General features: G+C 39.3%; 1 annotated feature.

The window, feature by feature from the left end:
• Nucleotides 2,115-2,616: an enhancer, noted in NCBI's record as "NANOG hESC enhancer chr11:37451937-37452438 (GRCh37/hg19 assembly coordinates)". NCBI's record gives its function as "activates a minimal SCP1, AML or CMV promoter by ChIP-STARR-seq in primed H9 embryonic stem cells {active_cell/tissue: H9 hESC(primed)}" and the evidence as "EXISTENCE:reporter gene assay evidence [ECO:0000049][PMID:30033119]".

A 21,268-nucleotide genomic window follows, 5' to 3' on the forward strand; every position in this document is an offset into this window, starting at 1 on the left:
CATTTTCTTAATCCAGTCTATCATTGTTGGACATTTGGCTTGGTTCCAAGCCTTTGCTATTGTGAATAGTGCCACAATAAACATATGTGTGCATATGTCTTTATAGCAGCATGATCTATAATCGTTTGGGTATATAACCAGCAATGGGATTGCTGGGTCAAATGGTATTTCTAGATCTAGGTCCCTGAGGAATCACCACACTGATTTGCACAATGGTTGAACTAGTTTACACTCCCACCAACAGTGTAAAATTGTTCCTATTTCTCCACATCCTCTCCAGCACCTGTTGTTTCCTGACTTTTTAATGATTGCCATTCTAACTGGTGTGAGATGGTATCTCATTGTGGTTTTGATTTGCATTTCTCTGATGGCCAGTGATGATGAGCATTTTTTCATGTGTCTTTTGGCTGCCTAAATATCTTCTTTTGAGAAGTGTCTGTTCATATCCTTCACCCACTTTTTGATGGGGTTGTTTGTTTTTTTCTTGTAAATTTGTTTGAGTTCATTGTAGATTCTGCATATTAGTCCTTTGTCAGATGAGTAGACTGCAAAATTTTTCTCCCATTCTGTAGGTTGCCTGTTCACTCTGAGGGTAGTTTCTTTTGCTGTGCAGAAGCTCTTTAGTTTAATTAGATCCCATTTGTCAATTTTGGCTTTTGTTGCCGTTGCTTTTGGTGTTTTAGACATGAAGTTCCTGCCCATGCCTATGTCCTGAATGGTATTGCCTAGATTTTCTTCTAGGGTTTTTATGGTTTTAGGTCTAACATTTAAGTCTTTAATCCATCTTGAATTAATTTTTGTATAAGGTTTAAGGAAGGGATCCAGTTTCAGCTTTCTACATATGGCTAGCCAGTTTTCCCAGCACCATTTATTAAATAGGGAATTCTTTCCCCACTGCTTGTTTTTGTAAGGTTTGTCAAAGATCAGATAGTTGTAGGTATGTGGCATTATTTCTGAGGGTTCTGTTCTGTTCCATTGGTCTATATCTCTGTTTTGGTACCAGTACCATGCTGTTTTGGTTACTGTAGCCTTGTAGTATAGTTTGAAATCAGGTAGCGTGATGTCTCCAGCTTTGTTCTTTTGGCTTAGGATTGACTTGGCAATGCAGGCTCTTTTTTGGTTCCATATGAACTTTAAAGTAGTTTTTTCCAATTCTGTGAAGAAAGTCATTGGTAGCTTGATGGGGATGGCATTGAATGTACAAATAACCTTGGGCAGTATGGCCATTTTCACGATATTGATTCTTCCCATCCATGAGCATGGAATGTTCTTCCATTTGTTTGTATCCTCTTTTATTTCATTGAGCAGTGGTTTGTAGTTCTCCTTGAAGAGGTCCTTCACATCCCTTGTAAGTTGGATTCCTAGGTATTTTATTCTCTTTGAAGCAATTGTGAATGGGAGTTCACTCATGATTTGGCTCTCTGTCTGTTATTGGTGTATAAGAATGCTTTTGATTTTGGCACATTGATTTTGTATCGTGAGACTTTGCTGAAGTTGCCTATCAGCTTAAGGAGATTTTGGGCTGAGACAATGGAGTTTTATAGATATAAAATCATGTCATCTGCAAACAGGGACAATTTGACTTCCTCTTTTCCTAATTGAATACCCTTTATTTCCTTCTCATGCCTGATTGCCCTGGCCAGAACTTCCAACACTATGTTGAATAGGAATGGTGAGAGAGGGCATCCCTGTCTTGTGCCTGTTTTCAAAGGGAATGCTTCCAGTTTTTGCCCATTCAGTATGATATTGGCTGTTGGTTTGTCATAGATAGCGCTTATTATTTTGAGATACATCCCATCAATACCTAATTTATTGAGAGTTTTTAGCATGAAGGGTTGTTGAATTTTGTCAAAGGCAGAATAGAGGCAGAAAAGTCTGCATCTATTGAGATAATCATATGGTTTTTGTTGTTGGTTCTGTTTATATGCTGGATTGTGTTTATTGCTTTGTGTATGTTGAACCAGCCTTGCATCCCAGGGATGAAGCCCACTTGATCATGGTGGATAAGCTTTTTGATGTGCTGCTGGATTTCGTTTGCCAGTATTTTATTCAGGATTTTTGCATTGATGTTCATCAGGGGTATTAGTCTAAAATTCTCTCTTTTTGTTTTTCTCTGCCAGGCTTTGGTATCAGGATGATGCTGGCCTCATAAAATGAGTTAGGGAGGATTTCCTCTTTTTCTTTTTTCTTTTTTTTTTTTTTTAGTATTTATTGATCATTCTTGGGTTTTTCTCAGAGAGGGGGATGTGGCAGGGTCATAGGATAATAGTGGAGAGAAGGTCAGCAGATAAACACGAGAACAAAGGTCTCTGGTTTTCCTAGGCAGAGGTCCCTGCGGCCTTCGGCCCTGTTTGTGTCCCTGGGTACTTGAGGTTAGGGAGTGGTGATGACTCTTAACAAGCATGCTGCCTTCAAGCATCTGTTTAACAAAGCACATCTTGCACCGCCCTTAATCCATTTAACCCTGAGTTGACACAGCACATGTTTCAGAGAGCATGGGGCTGGGGGTAAGGTTATAGATTAACAGCATCCCAAGGCAGAAGAATTTTTCTTAGTATAGAACAAAATGGTGTCTCCTATGTCTACTTGTTTCTACACAGACACAGTAACAATCTGATCTCTCTTTCTTTTCCCCACATTTCCCCCTTTTCTTTTTGACAAAACCACCATCGTCATCATGGCCCCTTCTCAATGGTCACTGTCTCTTTGGAGCTGTTGGGTACACTTCCCAGACGGGGAGGCCTGGCAGAGGCACTCCTCACTTCCCAGACTGTGGGCAGCTGGGCAGAGATGCTCCTCACATCCCAGATGATGGGCAGCCGGGCAGAGATGCTCCTCACTTCCCAGACGGGGTGGCGGCCGGGCAGAGGCGTTCCTCACATCCCAGACGATGGGCAGCCAGGCAGAGACACTCCTCACTTCCCAGACGGGGTGGCAACTGGGCAGAGGCGCTCCTCACTTCCCAGACAGGGCAGCCAGGCAGAGGCACTCCTCGCTTCCCAGACGGGGCGGCCGGGCAGAGGCGCTCCTCACATCCCAGACGGGGTGGCCAGGTAGAGGCGCTCCTCGCTTCCCAGACGGGGTGGCTGGGCAGAGGCACTCCTCACATCCCAGACGGGGTGGCCAGGTAGGGGCACTCCTCGCTTCCCAGATGGAGCGGCTGGGCAGAGGTGCTCCTCACATCCCCGATGGGGTGGCGGCCAGGCAGAGGCACTCCTCACTTCCCAGACGGGGTGGCCAGACAGAGGCGCTCCTCACTTCCCAGATGGGGTGGCCAGGCAGAGGCGCTCCTCACATCCCAGATGGGGCAGCCAGGCAGAGGCACTCCTCACTTCCCAGACAGGGTGGCAGCTGGGCAGAGGCGCTCCTCACATCCCAGACGATGGGCGGCCAGGCAGAGACGCTCCTCACTTCCCAGACGGGGCGGCCGGGCAGAGGCGCTCCTTGCTTCTCAGATGGGGCGGCCAGGTAGAGGTGCTCCTCACATCCCAGACGGGGTGGTGGCCAGGCAGAGGCGCTCCTCACTTCCCAGATGGGGCGGCCAGGCAGAGGCACTCCTCACCTCCCAGACGGGGCGGCCGGGCAGAGGGGCTCCCCACATCCCAGACAATGGGCGGCCAGGCATAGACGCTCCCTACTTCCCAGACAGGGTGGCAGCTGGGCAGAGGCTGTAATCTTAGCACTTTGGGAGGCCAAGGCAGGCAGCTGGAAGGTGGAGGTTGCAGTGAACTGAGATCACGCCACTGCACTCCAGCCCTCCAGCCTGCGCGACACTGAGCATTGAGTGAGCGAGACTCCATCTGCAATCCCAGCACCCCCCGGAGGCCGAGGCGGGCAGACCACTTGAGGTCAGGAGCTGGAGACCAGCCCGGTCAACAGGGCGAAACCCCGTCTCCTCCAAAAATCCAAAAACCAATCAGGTGTGGTGGCATGCGCTGGCAATCCCAAGCACTCGGCAGGCCGAGGCAGGAGAAACATGGGAGCCTGGGACAGGGGGGCTGCAGTGAGCCGAGATCACAGCAGTACAGTCCAGCCTCGGCAACAGAGGGAGACCAAAGAAAGAAAGAAGAGGGGAGAGGGAGAGGGAGAGGGAGAGGGCGGATTTCCTCTTTTTCTATTGATTGGATTAGTTTCAGAAGGAATGGTACCAGCTCCTCTTTGTACCTGTGGTAGAATTTGGCTGTGAATCTCTCTGGCCCTGGACTTTGTTTGGTTGGTAAGCTATTAATTATTGCCTCAATTTCAGAGCCTGTTATTGGTCTATTCAGAGATTCAACTTCTTCCTGGTTTAGTCTTGGGAGGGTGTATGTGTCGAGGAATTTATCCATTTCTTCTAGATCTTCTAATTTATTTGAGTAGAGGTGTTTATAATATTCTCTGATGGTAGTTTGTATTTCTGTGGGATCAGTAGTGATATCCCCTTTATCATTTTTTATTGCATCTATTTGATTCTTCTCTCTTTTCTTCTTTATTAGTCTTGCTAGCAGTCTATCAATTTTGTTGATCTTTTCAAAAAATCAGCTCCTGGTTTCATTGATTTTTTGAAGGGTTTTTTGTGTCTCTATTTCCTTCAGTTCTGCTCTGATCTTAGTTCTTTGTTGCTTTCTGCTAGCTTTTGAATGTGCTTGCTCTTGCTTCTCTAGTTCTTTTAATTGTGATGTTAGGGTGTCAATTTTGGATCTTTCCTGCTTTCTCTTGTGGGCATTTAGTGCTATAAATTTCCCTCTACACACTGCTCTGAATGTGTCCCAGAGATTCTGGTATGTTGTGTCTTAGTTCTCATTGATTTCAAAGAAAATCTTTATTTCTGCCTTCCTTTCATTATGCACTCAGTAGTCATTCAGGAGCGGGTTGTTCAGTTTCCATGTAGTTGAGTGGTTTTGAGTGAGTTACTTAATCCTGAGTTCCAGTTTGATTGCACTGTGGTCTGAGAGACAGTTTGTTATAATTTCTGTTCTTTTACATTTGCTGAGGAGTACTTTACTTCCAACTATGTGGTCAATTTTGGAGTAAGTGTGGTGTGGTGCTGAGAAGAATGTATATTCTGTTGATTTGGGGTGGAGAGTTCTGTAGATATCTATTAGGTCTGCTTGGTGCAGAGCTGAGTTCATTTCCTGGATATCCTTGTTAACTTTCTGTCTCGTTGATCTGTCTAATGTTAACAGTGGGGTGTTAAAGTCTCCCATTATTATTGTGTGGGAGTCTAAGTCTCTTTCTAGGTCTCTAAGGACTTGCTTTATGAATCTGGGTGCTCCTGTATTGGGTGCATATATATTTAGGATAGTTAGCTCTTCTTGTTGAATTGATCACTTTACCATTATGCGATGACTTCTTTGTCTCTTTTGATCTTTGTTGGTTTAAAGTCTGTTTTATCAGAGGCTAGGATTGCAACCCTTGCCTTTTTTTGTTTTCCATTTGCTTGGTAGATCTTCCTCTATCCCTTTATTTTGCGCCTATGTGTGTCTCTGCACATGAGATGGGTTTCCTGAATACAGCACACTGATGGGTCTTGACTCTTTATCCAATTTGCCAGTCTGTGTTTTTTAATTGGAGCATTTAGCCCATTTACATTTAAAATTAATATTGTTATGTGTGAATTTGATCCTGTCATTATGATGTTAGCTGGTTATTTTGCTCATTAGTTGATGCAGTTTCTTCCTAGAATCAATGGTCTTTACAATTTGTCATGTTTTTGCAGTGGCTGGTACCGGTTGTTCCTTGCCATGTTTAGTGCTTCCTTCAGGAGCTCTTTTAGGGCAGGCCTGGTGGTGACAAAAACTCTCAGCATTTGCTTGTCTGTAAAGTATTTTATTTCTCCTTCACTTATGAAGCTTAGTTTGGCTGGATATGAAATTCTGGGTTGAAAATTCTTTTCTTTAAGAATGTTGAATATTGGCCCCCATTCTCTTCTGGCTTGTAGAGTTTCTGCTGACAGATCCACTGTTAGTCTGATGGGCTTCCCTTTGTGGGTAACCGACCTTTCTCTCTGGCTGCTCTTAACATTTTTTCCTTCATTTCAACTTTGGTGAATCTGACAATTATGTGTCTTGGAGTTGCTCTTCTTGAGGAGTATCTTTGTGGCATTTTCTGTATTTCCTGAATTTGAACATTGGCCTGCCTTGCTAGATTGGGGAAGTTCTCCTGTGTAACATCCTGCAGAGTGTTTTCCAACTTGGTTCCATTCTCCCCATCACTTTCAGGTACACCAATCAGACATAGATTTGGTGTTTTCACATAGTCCCATATTTCTTGGAGGCTTTGTTCATTTCTTTTTGTTCTTTTTTCTCTAAACTTCTCTTCTCACTTCATTTCATTCATTTGATCTTCCATCACTCATACCCTTTGTTCCAGTTGATTGAATTGGCTACTGAGGCTTGTGCATTCGTCACGTAGTTCACATGCCATGGTTTTCAGCTCCATCAGGTCCTTTAAGGACTTCTCTGCATTGATTATTCTAGTTAGCCATTTGTCTAATTTTTTTTCAAGGTTTTTAACTTCTTTGCCATGGGTTCGAACTTCCTCCTTTAGCTCAGAGTAGTTTGATCGTCTGAAGCCTTCTTCTCTCATCTCGTCAAAGTCGTTCTCCATCCAGCTTTGTTCCATTGCTGGTGAGAAGCTGCATTCCTTTGGAGGAGGAGAGGCACTCTGATTTTTAGAGTTTCCAGTTTTTCTGCTCTGTTTTTTCCCTATCTTTGTGGTTTTATCTACCTTTGGTCTTCGATGATGGTGATGTACAGATGGGGATGTCCTTTCTGTTTGTTAGTTTTCCTTCGAATAGTAAGGATCCTCAGCTGCAGGTCTGTTGGAGTTTGCTGGAGGTCCACTCCAGACCCTGTTTGCCTGGGTATCAGCAGTGGAGGCTGCAGAACAGCAGATATTGGTGAACAGCAACTGTTGCTGTCTGATCATTCCTCTGAAAGTTTTGTCTCAGAGGAGTACCCAGCCGTGTGAGGTGTCAGTCTGCCCCTACTGGGGGGTGCCTCCCCTAGGCTACTCGCAGGTCAGGGACCCACTTGAGGAGGCAGTCTGTCCATTCTCAGATCTCCAGCTGCATGTTGGGAGAACCACTACTCTCTTGAAAGCTGTCAGACAGAGACATTTAATTCTGCAGAGGATTCTGCTGCCTTTTGTTTGACAATGCCCTGCCCCCAGAGGTGGAGTCTACAGAGGCAGGCAGGCCACCTTGAGCTGCGGTGGGCTCCACCCAGTTCGAGCTTCCTGGCTGCTTTATTTACCTACTCAAGCCTTGGCAATGGCGGGTGCCCCTCCCCCAGCCTCGCTGCAGCCTTGCAGTTTGATCTCAGACTGCTGTGCTAGCAATGAGCGAGGTTCCATGGGCGTAGGACCCTCTGAGCCAGGCACGGGATATAATCTCCTGGTGTGCTGTTTGCTAAGACTGTTGGAAAAGCGCAGTATTAGGGTGGGAGTTACCCAATTTTCCAGGTGCCGTCTGTAACCCCGTTCTTTGATATTTCTTAAAAGCTACCTAACTATGAATGTCTTTATTTTAGCAAGTGATGAATGAGTGCTTCTACAGCACATAATGAGATGTAATAAATTCCATTGGTTTACTTTTCTTTTTAAAGTGTAGCCACAGTAGAAATGTTTATTGTATGGATAAACAAAGTCCATTGGGAATAGTAAAGGAATTGAAAGATATCTATAGTTTTAGAAATTCCTTAAATGGAATTTTTGATTTGCATATTTTGAGGCCTGTGTTGCATGATTGAAAGGATAAGGCCATGTCAAAGTTGATTTTGATATCTCTTTTCATCCTAGCAGGTGGACTTCATATATTGTGATTGGAAGGCTTCTGCAAAGACTTTTCTACTTACAGAATATCCCTAAGTTCTCTAGGTTGCTGAAATCCTTTAACAACATTCATCCATATAAAATAAGCGATGCCTTTGAATATAACATCTTTTAAAATGTAACATTTTTCTGAAGAACATCTCAACTGAAATCCTTCTCATTTAGAGTCAGCAAACTGTTACTGAAAGTTTACATATTTTTATGACCACTGTGTGTGTGTGTGTGTGTGTGTGTGTGTCTAAAATCAAGCATTGTTTCTGTTATTTTTAATCCACTTTTGTTCTGTAGAACGTCATTAGGACTAGTAAATAATTTTTGACTTCCTTCAAATTCCATTGAATTCAACCAATATATAATCTTAATACAATATATGAAACAAAATAGGACCATAGTTACATAAATAATAATTAATTCTAGATAGGATAAGAGTTGGATATGATAGTTTTGGGAGGCCTAATGACATTGGATATTGATCGCAACAGTAAATGACCACAACAGTAACTAGAGCTTATTAGGATTCCCTGAAAGATAATTAGATAATAGAGAAAACTAGTAGTACTAAGATTCTATTGAATTACTCTAAACCCCAATTCAAAGAGTCACATAACATAAAACCCATTAGTTACCTCCTGTGTACTTCCATATAATTCATTTCTCATTAATCATTTTGAAGCCTAGCAAAAGGATCAATCTGAGCCTCATGATCCTTAATATTTTCTATTTTTATCTATATTTTAGCAATGGAAATAATGGCATGAACATGAAATAATGCCCACACAGCTTGGACTCTGCAGCTCTCTACCTAGCCCAATAGAACCACCATCAGTATGAGGAAGAAAATATTCTAGATCAGCTACAGAATTTTCAGCGATGACGGAAATGTTCCATAAGCTGTGCTACCCAATAGGGTAGCCACTAGTTACATGTGGCTATTGAACATTTGATATATGGGTAGTGTGAATAAGGAAGGGAATTTTAAGTTAGATTTAATTTCAATTTATTTAAGTTTAAATAGCCACAAGTACTTAATGGCTACTTTATTGAACAATGTAGTTCTAGCTTGAGGTAGATATAGGTACAGAAAAAAAGAGGCATGTGTATTTGGGAAGCAGACAGTAATTTGAAAATGCTAGAGAATAGAGGAAGATTGAGTATGTCTGAAAGTGAAGTTGCACAATAGATTAAGGTAAATTGTAAAAGACTTTCCAATGGCAAGCCAAGTTATAAGCTTGGCCAGAGGCATTAAAGCCTGAGAGTGACATAATAAAATATCTATGTTTTAGGGCATTCTCCTTGGTATATTAATGATAAAAGGTAGGAGACAGGGAGTATATATTAAATGAATGTTACCAAGAAATAAGTTAAATATAATAACATTATAAATTATAATAATGACAGTGGGTGGAGTAAAATAGTTCAAAAATATTGTAAAGATAGAATTCAGTTGACACTACTCATGACTGATTTTGTACGTATGAGGGGGCTGGAGAGGAGAGAGTGTATAGTCGTAAAGATAATTTGGGGATTACTAGCTTAGGTAACATATGATAATGATGTGAAGGCTGGAGGAAAATCAATTTTGAGAGAGTGTTTCAGTTGGCTATTCCAACAATGCTTCATAACAACCAACAGGCAACTCAGTGGCTTAAAACACCCATTTGTTACTATTGACCTAAGTTTACAGGTTGAATGGGCTTTGACCAAGCAATAATCAATGATATTACTTGGGGGTATTTATATGGTCTTAAAATGTGTTGGGCTAATTTGGGATATTCTCAACTTGGTTGACTATCTCTGTTCCATATATCTCAACCTCTATCTGGCAAGCTTGAGCATATTCTAATTGGAAGCCAAGAGTAGAGGAAGCATAAACATCAAGGAGATTTTAGTCATAGGTTCGTCACTAGTTTGCTAGTGGTCTATTGGCCAAAACAACTCATGGGGTCAAGCCCAAAGTTCAGGTAGGATGGCAATACAAAAGACATAAATGGAGGAATACATGAAAGATTGGACCCTAACCAAATCACTTTTCCATAATCTTTCTTCTGGCCACAGTTATTATATCTCTTCCATGTGCTTAATAGCTTTTATTGCTATCCTCTTCCCCTTCAATGATCCATATGATCATTGATCATTGCACTGGACTTAGAGTTTAGGAACTCATGATTTAAACGAAGTCCAGATATAGCTTCTCTTTATCCAAGGATCTATAAACTAAAAAGACAAGTTAACTATCCTCCCAACTCTTCACACACTCATAAGATAATGAAAGAAAGACAAAATAATCTGCAACAGGCCATTCCACTTAAAAAGTAGAAGGTTGGGAGGCACACAATCTTTAATAAAGGTTCTGATCATTCTCAGCAAACTATCACAGGAACAGAAAACCAAACATTGCATGTTCTCATTCATAAGCGGGAGTTGAACGTGAGAACACATGGACACAGGGAGGGAAACGTCACACCCCGGGGCCTGTCAGTGGGTTGGGGGCAAGGGGAGTGATAGCATTAAGAGAAATACTTAATGCATGCTGGGCTTAAAACCTAGATGACAGGTTGATGGGTACAGCAAACCACCATGGAAAATGCATACCTATGTAACAAACCTGCAAGTTCTGCACATGGATCCCAGAACTTAGAGTATGAGTTAAAGAAAAGATTCTAGCATCCAGTTAGAACCATTTTGCAAATTTTCACTACCCTAGATTTCAGAGGGGGTTTGAAGTGGCTCCCTAGACCGTTATTCTTTACTCTTCCATGGGAGTGAGCTATCTAGTCCAATGTTCCTCACAGCTCATCCCTCCACACTCATTCATTACCCATATTTTTTCACTTCTTTAAAGGTCATTAGAAAATACATCTTTTTGGCTACTTTCTCAGGCTGCTTCTTACTCATATTAAGGTGTGGATTCCAAAACCTTTGTATATTTTGAAATATATAGACTTATTTTACTCAAGGCTAACGGCATTTTCACCAATATTGCTATTCCAAAATTTGCATAGGTTTCCTGTGAGTTGGATATGATTCCTTTCCATGCTTAGAGTGTCACATCAAGACTTGTTTTTGGAGACATGTCTCCTCTCTAGACTTAGTCATTAATATTTGGGTGGGATGATGCCTTTAGTATTCTAAGAAGTCTTTTTGACTAGTTTGGTGTGTCACTCTTGATTTGACCTTTGACTCCAAGTATTTTACTTTGAGAAATATTTTCCCAATGGAGAATTTGAAGATGAGAAACAGCTTTATGGTACGACCCAGAAACTGTTGACCCTTCTGTCTCACATACAACTTTAAAAAGCCAAATGACACTTTCCACTTTCTGCCTGAAAAACTTGTTGTTCAATTTCATAATTTTGTCAGATGCTTTTTATATCATCTAACTCACTGTAGGTGACAATTATCCCAATTGTTTTACCACAATACAACATTTTTAGCAGCTTCCTCAGTGCTTTTCTAGTCTTTGTTCAATGTCTGCTTCAAAAGCCAATGCAACATAGTATTGGTTTTTGTTATGAAAGCACTGTATGTCCAATGACAATTTCTGTGTCAATGAGCTCCTACTTCAATAACACTTCATGTCAAACTCAAATTGTTTAGTGATAATGATTTATTAATGCTCAGAAATCCATAAGTGATTTTGGTATGGCTTGTCTGTGCACTTCTCCTGGTCTCAGTTTGGGACACATTAACAGATTTTGTGGTTTTCTTGCTTTAAACTGATATAGGATACTCTTCCTAGGACAAAAGTCTTTATGTTTTCAGCCTCCTATAGGGTAGACCTGAGCATTTGCCTCAGAGTTTAAGAATGGAAGAAGAGATGTGCAAACTCCTTTTTAAGCCTCTCCTTCCATCATTTGTTTTTGTCCCATTGGTCAAAGAAAGTCATACAGCTAAGTCCAAAGTTAGTGTGGGAGAGCTTTGTCAAATGCATTGGTGCATGAAAGTATGGGAAATTGGGTATATCAGTTCAATCTACCACTGAGAGCATGTAATGATTTTGGCTGTGGAGTAGAGATGAGACAAAAAAGGTCAAGACCATATAATTATGGTTTTCCTATTCTAGGCTCAAAAGTCTGTATCTTTTCTGAAGAAATGAGAAAATAGTAAATAATTTTAAGTGGTGGGTCAGCATAATACTTTTTTTTCCCATAAAGATAACTCTGCAACACTGTGTAGGGATTAGAAAGATTATGGCTTGAAAGCAGGAAGACAAGTTAGAAGAATATTGTCCTAATTCGGGTTATAAATCATTAATGTCTGATAAACTAATAATAGAAGGTACAGAGAAAACACTACAGGATATCTGATTGAGGGAAGGAGAAATTCAAGTTTGAAATCAGTACATTTTCTTACAAACTCAAGAGAAATGAATAGGAGAAATAATTATGTCACTAGTCCAAGGATATAGTTGACTTTTTTTTTTAATTAAAAATGGTTTCCAATTCCTTTATTTATACTTATAATTCACATTTTAGAAGGCTTGTTATCCCCTCCCGACTCACCGTCTCAGCCTCAGGTAATTTAACATAAGAAATTTGGTGACACCCTCAATAAAGCTAACACAGAGCTTTAAATAAATGACACTGCTGCATTTTGGGTGTTCTTCTGGACAGGAGTACCTCCGAGCTTTGATTATTAATTTTTACTTTCTACACTTAAGTCATCCTTCAAAATGTGGAGTAGATCCAGCAGTATGCCAAAGATGGCTTATACTGACCTTAAATTATTCTTTCTGTTGTTTTGGGGCTGTTTATGTCAGAAACAAAATAAAAAGCACATTTTTCTTTTAGCAGAAAGCATTGCAGGTGTTAAATGAAATGGTCATTTGTCTCACTGAAGTTGACCTGACAAGCCTGGAGTGGCTTTTTTCTCTATGGTGAGAGTCTTAAAGGGTGTTTGCCAAATTGCAATTGCAAGAAAACAGTACTGCAAAGAAAGAATATCATGAGATATTTGTTTTTGAAATAGTTCAAGTAAAGGAAATACACACACACACACACACACACACAAATATATCTATATATAAAATATGTTTTTTGTTAGGAATTTTATCTAGTCTTTTAAAACTATATTGGGAAATGTGTGGTTGGGAGATAAAAAAGAACTAATCTCTTTTGGACGTGATTTTGGTATCAAAATACTTCAAGAAAAAGGAAGCCTGGTTGAATGTCAATATATTGAGCAAGGGCCACTTTAAAATTAAGTCTAAAAAATCCCCAAACTTTTTAAAAAAGCAAAGAGGAACTTTTAAAAATATTAGAAGGGGAAACTAATCATACGCAGTGCAAGAACATACCTCGGCTCGCTATCGTAAAATTTTTTGTAGGCATATTGTGGCATCTTTGCTACAGAATTAGTTCAGGTTGTGCTCATGTATCTACTGTTGTAAATTGTGCATTCAGTTTTACCTATCCTATTCAAAAAACTTTTTTATGAAAATCCCCACCCCAGAACATAACAGGCAACTTTTACCTTGGTGTCTAACTATGAGATTGATATCCAAAGAGCAATTGACCAAACTGAGTCAATAGCACTAACATTTGAATTAATTAGATAAATAAATGTCTACTATGATTATCAGGTTATTTATGTTAAGGATTTTGGCATCCATTTCTTTTTAACTTTGCTTTTCATTTTCTATTTTGTCTGCTTTTTTATAGTGTCACCTGGAAATAAAATGTGTAACAGGAACTGTCCTGAATATCCAATGATTAGGTTCCTTGCAACACAGGAACTTGCAGGGCCAGGAAAGGATTGTCTTTGCTGTATGTCCATGGAGAGAGGAGCAAAGGGGAACTGGGAGGCGATTGTCTCCCATGTTAGGTGTTTCTGTTTCCCATGCATTTGACTATTCCTGATTAGTTTTAAGCCTCAGAAAGCTGAGTTTCTCAACTCTACAAAGGAGTAACTTACTTCAATTTTATCTCAGGGTAAAGTGAGGCTTAGAGGCCTGACACGTGTGCCTATTTTTAGGGAACCAATCTAGATGAGAAGTCTCTAGCCATTCTCTAGAGTTAGTCCAGAGAAACTGAGATAGTCCCACAAGCTCTTGGCCATCATGCTACATTTTAAAATCATATTGGGAAGAGAGAAAATATAGTGCCAACAAAGGGAAAAAAAGCAATAGATACTATCTGGTTTAGTCAGTTCAGACTGCTATAACAAATTACCATAGACTGAGTGGCTTAAACAATTTATTTCTCACAGTTCTGAGGCTGGAAACCTGAGATCAGGGTGCCGGCATGGTTGAGTTTTAGTGAGGGTCCTCTTCCATGTTGCGGACAGCTGATTTCTCCTTGCCTCATCACATGGTGGAAAGATGGTGAGCTAGTTCTCTGCCCTCCCCTTATAAGGCCACTAATCTCATTCATGCAGACTTTACCTTATGACCTAATTACCTCTCAAGAGCTCCACCTCCAAATAAATTCACACTGGAAATTAGATTTTAACATGCATTTTGAGGGTACACGAACATTCAATTTGTAATATTATTATTAAACAGACATATGATGGCTTAAAAATGGGTACAGATTCTTTGTATCCCCTGCTATCAAGAGTTAAAGTTTCTTTCCCATTTCCTGAATGTGGACTGGTCTTATTTTCTGCTTTGACTAATAGAATGAAGCAGAAAGTGATTAATTAGGGAGTTCTAAGATGATTCCTCAAAAGAACATGCAGCTTCTGCTCTCATTCTCTTGGAATGCTGTTGTCATATAAAAAGTCCCAGGCAGGGCTGCCACAGATACATGGTCCAATTCACAGCTGACACCAATCATCTGCAGATTTATGAATGAGGCCACCTTAGACCTTCAGTCCCAATTAAACCACCAGATAGATAAAATCATACGAGTGACCCCAAGGGGGACCACAGTCAAGACCAAATTGTGGACCTGAAGAACAGTGAGCAAATAGGGTTTTGTTTGTTTTGAGAGAGGGTCTTACTCTGTCACCTAGGCTGAAGTGCAATGGAGCAAACAGGGCTCACTGCAGCTTCTGCCTCCAGGGCTCAAGCAATTCTCCCACCTCAGCCCCCACAAGTAGCTGGAACTATAAGTGTGTGCCACCATGCCAGGCTAATTTTTGTATTTTTTGTAGAGACTGTTTCACCATGTTGCCCAGGCTGGTCTCAAACTCCTGAGCTCAGATAATCCACCTGCCTCAGACTCCCAGAGTTTACAGGTGTGATCCACTACACCCAGCTAAAATAGTTTCTTTTTTAAGTCACTAAATTTAGGGGTACTTTGTTATGCAGCAATAGGAGACTGATAGAGCTTTAGCCCTTTAATCTTTAGCTCTAAGGAAGGGAGAGATAAAAGAGAAAACCACATCCTGTGCAGAGACAGTGTACGTAACCTTATCCAGCAAGGACTACAGGCCAATTAGGGTTTCCAAATTTGAACAATCCAAACGACTTATCTTTTCTGGGATCATGATGGGAGAAGGTAAAGAGTAAGAATGCTAAGAAAGACAAAAACCTTTCTTCCTGGCCGTCACAGATTTCTGTGTCTCTTTCTAGACTGTTTTCTGCTTAAGGGTCGGTCATTTTCTTATTTTCTTTTATTTTTTATTTTTTGAGACAGTGTCTCTCTCTGTTGCCCATGCTGGAGTGCAGTGGCACGATCTAGGCTCACTCCAACCTCTGCCTCCTGGGTTCAAGGGATTCTCATGCCTCAGCCTCCCAAGTAGCTGAGATTATAGGCACACGCCACCATACCTGGCTAATTTTTGCATTTTTAGTAGAGACAGGGTTTCACCATATTGGCCAGGCTGGTCTTGAACTCCTGACTTCAAGTGATCCACCAGGCTCGGCCTCTCAAAGTGCTGGGATTACAGTTGTGAGCCAGCGCTCCCAGCCAAGAGTCAATCATTTCCTTATTTAATTTATATTTTTAAAATACATATTCCTGTGGATTGCATAAAATATACCCTAAAATAATTAATTGCATTAATTTTCATTATAGCTCAGAAGTTCAAGGATTGGTATTTTTTTGCTGTAATTTACTTTGAAAAAATGGAATGAGCTTAACCAAGAACACATAGCTAATGATTGGCATGGTCAAAACTCTTATGGGACCTTTGATTTTTTCACTAGTGTCAGGTATTAACATATTGTTTGCTACAAATTTAAATATGTGACTCTGAAATGATGGACAATGTTATAAATTAGTGACTTAAGATGATTAAATTACTGACTTAATACATTCCATCTGAGAATTAACCATGGGGTTGCCAGTGTAGGAGGCTGATACTGCCATAGTCGTAAACAGAGCCAGATCTTGATTCACATATATCCAGTGCAAATTACAGCTTTGCATATTCCATTTTGTGTAATTTTGAGTAAGATTATCTGTCTGGGCCTCCATTCTAACATGCATATTGGAGAAAGTAACAATATCTACACTATAAAATAAGGATTTAGTGGCAAATATACACCATGGAATACTATGCAGCCATAAAAAATGATGAGTTCATGTCCTTTGCAGGGTCATGGATGAAGCTGGAAACCATCATTCTCAGCAAACTATTGCAAGGACAAAAAACCAAACACCGCATGTTCTCACTCATAGGTGGGAATTGAACAATGAGAACACATGGACACAGGAAGGGGAACATCACTCACCGGGGCCTGTTGTGGGGTGGGGGGAGAGGGGAGGGATAGCATTTGGAGGTATACCTAATGTTAAATGACGAGTTACTGGGTTCAGCACACCAACATGGCACATGTATACATATGTAACAAACCTGCACGTTGTGCTCATGTACCCTAAAACTTAAAGTATAATTAAAAAAAAAAGATACAATCTACAAAATACTTAACACACTTATAAATATAACAAATATGTACCTAATGTTTGTCAGGTTCCAGACCCTGTTCAAGCACTTTACCTCTATTAATGCACATAATCTTTTTTATTTTATTTTATTTTATTTTATTTTATTTTATTTTATTTTATTTTATTTTATTTTATTTTACTTTGAGACGGAGTCTCTCTCTGTCGCCCAGGCTAGAGTGCAGTGGTGCAGTCTCGGTTCACTACAACCTCTGCCTCCTGGGTTCAAGCGATTCTCCTGCCTCTGCCTCCCAAGTAGCTGGGATTACAGGCACTTGCCAACACGCCAGGCTTTATTTTTGTATTTCTAGTAGAGTCGGGGTTTCACCGTGTTAGCCAGGATGGTCTAGATCTCCTGACCTCAAGATCCGCCTGCCTTGGCGTCCCAAAGTGCTGGGATTACAGGCGTGAGCCAGCACGCCCTGCCAATGAGACAATCTTTACATGAGCACTATGTGGTAGGTTCTATTGTTATTCTACTTGTTTCACAAATGAGAAAAGTGAAGCAAAGAGAAAAGTTAAGTAACTTGACTGAGATCACACTGGGCTCCCTCCTAACATTTGTGTGGCTGAGGGCAAGAATATAAATGGTAGCCTTCGTATTCTGTGTCTAAAAAAAGAAAAAGAAAGAAAAGAAAAGAAAAAGAAAAATAGCAGTGTATCATGAACTATATATTCATATAAAATTTGCATTTATATTTAGTTAAATCCTGTTTAAAAGGGGGGAGTGGCCATATGGACATAGTTCAGGCGATTTTAAGTGCTGTGCTGAAATTGTCTCAGTCATAAGACAGGGAAAATGATGTATACAATTGGTTGACAAAAATGTCAAAAGTGTCGAGATATTTAAATTTTATAATTGAAGTGGCTCCCTCTGGCTGGCCTGTATTCTCATGCAGGGATTAGCAGCTCTCTTCCCTGGGATCAGTCTTACAAACTAAGAAGCCAAACATAAATTGATACTTGCTTTCTGCAGCCTGAGTACAGTGAAAAATCTGCTGGGACAAGGAAAGATGAGGGGCAGAGTCTGGCCCTGGCCAATGTTGCCTTTAGGATGCAACTGGATCCACCTATACCTGGGATAGAAACTGACCAGGATAAACTGGTGGTGAGCAGGCTCTCCTCTCCAGCACCTCACTTTTGTATCTTAGGATTTCCAGGTCTTTCTATTTACCACTCAAAACTACATCAGATGGGCATAGCATGGGAAGTGGTATAGTTATCAGAGAAACTTGGGCTGCTCAGGCCCCACTTAGGAAGATTTGGGTCATCCATCTTTAAACAAGTTTCCCTGGTATAAAGCATATTTCATCTGATTTTCCTAGGGGCGGCAGTTTTGATTTCTTCACCCTGGCTCTACCTATCCTTGCCCACATTTCTTGTTAGCCTGAGATTATCTGGTTTGTGAAACCCAATTTGGTTTTTACCTCTTTCCTTCATGTCTTCCCTCCTTTTATGAAATTTCAAAACATGTTAAGAGGCTGAAAAAAAAAACTTTGCATTTCAGTTTTTGTGATTTGGGGGGCCCTCTAGACATAGAGCTCAGAACACAGGCCCTTTCAGCCTAATCTAAAGGCAATACTGGATCAAAATGGAATAATGACAGAAATAGCTTCTGAACTCCTATGATCAGGTTCCAGAGCCTATGCTCTTAATTACTACACTGTACTACCCCTCAGCAAGACTATCCGAAAGAATCTTGTTTTAGAGGGACTTGTTCTATATGGAATGCCTTTGAGAAAACCTTGTCAGGATTCTTAATCTGTGATAGGACACAGCAGTCTCATTACATTATGGTCGGGTTGCATATAAGAATATATCAGAATTTTTTTTTCATTAAATCTCTGGCATGATTGCATTGCTATTTAAATTGCAATCTGAAAATGAAACAGTACTTTTATTTTTAGTCATTAAAATCATGCCAAAAACTGATGTGGAAAGGATTACTATTCAATGAGTGACAAGAGGGGGTTGATTTAGTAATTACATAATTTGTGTTTTCACATCTAAACCCTCTCTCTCAGGCTTCCTAGAATATACTAGATGTGAAGCTGTTAATCAATTATATCTTTAAAAAAATTACAACACTCATTCTACTTTTCTACAAATAATTCATAGTCATGGTACAATTGGCATCCCATAGCGATGTCTAGTAGTATGTACTTATTGTTGAATGTAAGAGAGCTTTAAAAATAACTAAAATGTACCATGAAAGTAAATTAGTAGAACCCTTGTTGTGATTCTGAATTCTTGATTGACTTTTATCGTCTTTGTTTGTTCATTCACCACAGGGAGAAGAGCCTACCATCACCCTGAAATTAACAATGTTCAACCCTATTAAATAACACTTAAAGAGTTATCAATTCTGAGTGTTACACTAATGCCATTTTCTGACTAAAATCTTAGAATTCATTTCCTTTGAAACTGAAAAGAATAATGATCTTCTCCTCTTATAATAATCTCAAATCTGCATTTACATAAGCAATCATTTTATTTTAGATTTTTAAGATTTTTTTTGGCTGCTATGTGATAAGATTATATCTTATAATTTTACCTGAAATGTAAAAAACCAATTGTAGTCTTTCTGATTCTACAATTTGGAGCTTATTATAGTTTAAGATTAATGAATTTATTTTATGTTTTCTTTAACTGTGTGTGGAAAGAAGAAAAACAAACAATATTTCTGTGATTGAATTCTAGCCCCAGCTATGCATGACTATATTGGGGAAGCTACTGGTTCACAGAATCTCTTATTGCTTCAAAATATTTTAACAATATTATGGAGCTTTAGAGAATGAATATGGGATCCATGGAGAATAGATGTACCTTTCAACAGACATAGATGTAAAAATGTAACAACAGCTAACATTTATTGAGTTCTTGCTCTATGCCAGGCATTGTTCAAAGTGCTTTATGCGCAGTCTGATCTAATTATACAACAGCTCATGCTAGGTTTTGGTGGGTATTGGAAACCCACTCTGGACTGTGTATTCTTGGGATTTTACTTCTACTTAACATCCTGAAGGAAGAGGCAGAGTGGGTTATCTATAACTGCCCTTATAAGCACTGGCAAGGAAAATGAAATCTTTCTGTCTTTCACATCATGCAGAGAACGTATAGGGAGAAGAGGTAACTAGATTGTTATTGAGAAAAACCTAACCTGTATTACCCAAGATGTTCTTATACATAAACATTGAATTTAAATGTGATGTTTATCTCTATTCTCTCTTTTGACTTTATTCAATAATTTTTCTAAAGAATATTGCAGTCATAAAATGGTAGCAATTCATATTCTGATTACAGTAGAGAGAAATTATAAATTTTTTTAAATGGAAGAATTATTACATGTGTTATGATACTTAATATTAAAGAAATATTACTTAGATATGAAAAATGCTCACAGCGTCAAAACATATTAACTATAAATACTAAGGGAAATGTCTAAAATGTAAACCACATGAATATTGAACAATATAAAATACTTGAACAATATAATATAATGTTCAATTATATTGAACAAGTATAATATAATATACTTGTTCAATATAAAATATATTGAACAATATAAAATACATACAAAAGTATGATACAAATAGAAGGATAACAAGAAAATTAGAATAGTTTTTATTTAAGGAACTTTGGGTAAATTGATTTCTTTAAGAATTTACTTAAAAAATTAAGATGTGAAGGAAGACTTATTTAAAACCAATAATATTTGTAAAGCAATTTGCTCTTTTCTATATTTACTAAAAGGAAGAAAAATTGTTTCAAACCAAAAGTAATTTTGAGTAAACAATACACAGTGGTTGTATTCATTTAAATATAAAATATGATATTTTCTGTGTCATCTGCCATAGTCCATCAATCAAACAAATTATCCTTGGAACTTCTAAGGCTATTAGCACTGAGGAACACATAGTTATTTCCTTACAATACTTTCAGCTTAAATTGGAATTTTTACTGCCCAGAGTACAATATAATCTAGAACATCTTTTTTTCCTAGCAAAAGCTCCTATTCAGTCTGAATTATCTCAGGATATAGTCATTGATTTCCTTAATCAATCCAGAACTGTCCATCTTCACTGGTTGTAGTCGTCTCTGGTTGCCTTATAATTGTATAAATACACCACCTTAGAACTTACATACATTTTATGAGAAAGTATGGTATTCTTCTAGGAAAACAAACTAGAACAAATAATATTCTGGCACAACTATGAGGCAAAGGAATATTTCTTAAAAAAAAAAAATAGCGAATCAAAGTTTGCTGCTCAAACATCACCTCAGGGAGTGGCTCAATTGGGACAGTAAACAGCCTGTGTTTCCAGCACCTCCACCCACAGTAGTTATGAAACATTTGGAAATCAACAGAGACTTGAAAGAGCCAAAAGTACGCAGTGCCCTATATATCTGCAGTTGCAAAAATGCTGCCCGAGTATTTGAGACTTTGGCAAATTTACCCTTCATTCCACAAGGTGGGGTTGTTTCAATATGAAAGAAAAGAGCAAGAGGCTCCAACTGAGACATGCTCTTGCCCTATTTCCAAATAAGAAAATATTATTATTTTGCTATTACAGAGGAAGAAAAGACAGACTTTTGTAAATCTATGAGAGAAATGTTCTTGGTAC

Source organism: Homo sapiens, chromosome 11, assembly GCF_000001405.40.
Source record: "Homo sapiens chromosome 11, GRCh38.p14 Primary Assembly".
NCBI classification, from domain to species: Eukaryota; Metazoa; Chordata; class Mammalia; order Primates; family Hominidae; genus Homo; species Homo sapiens.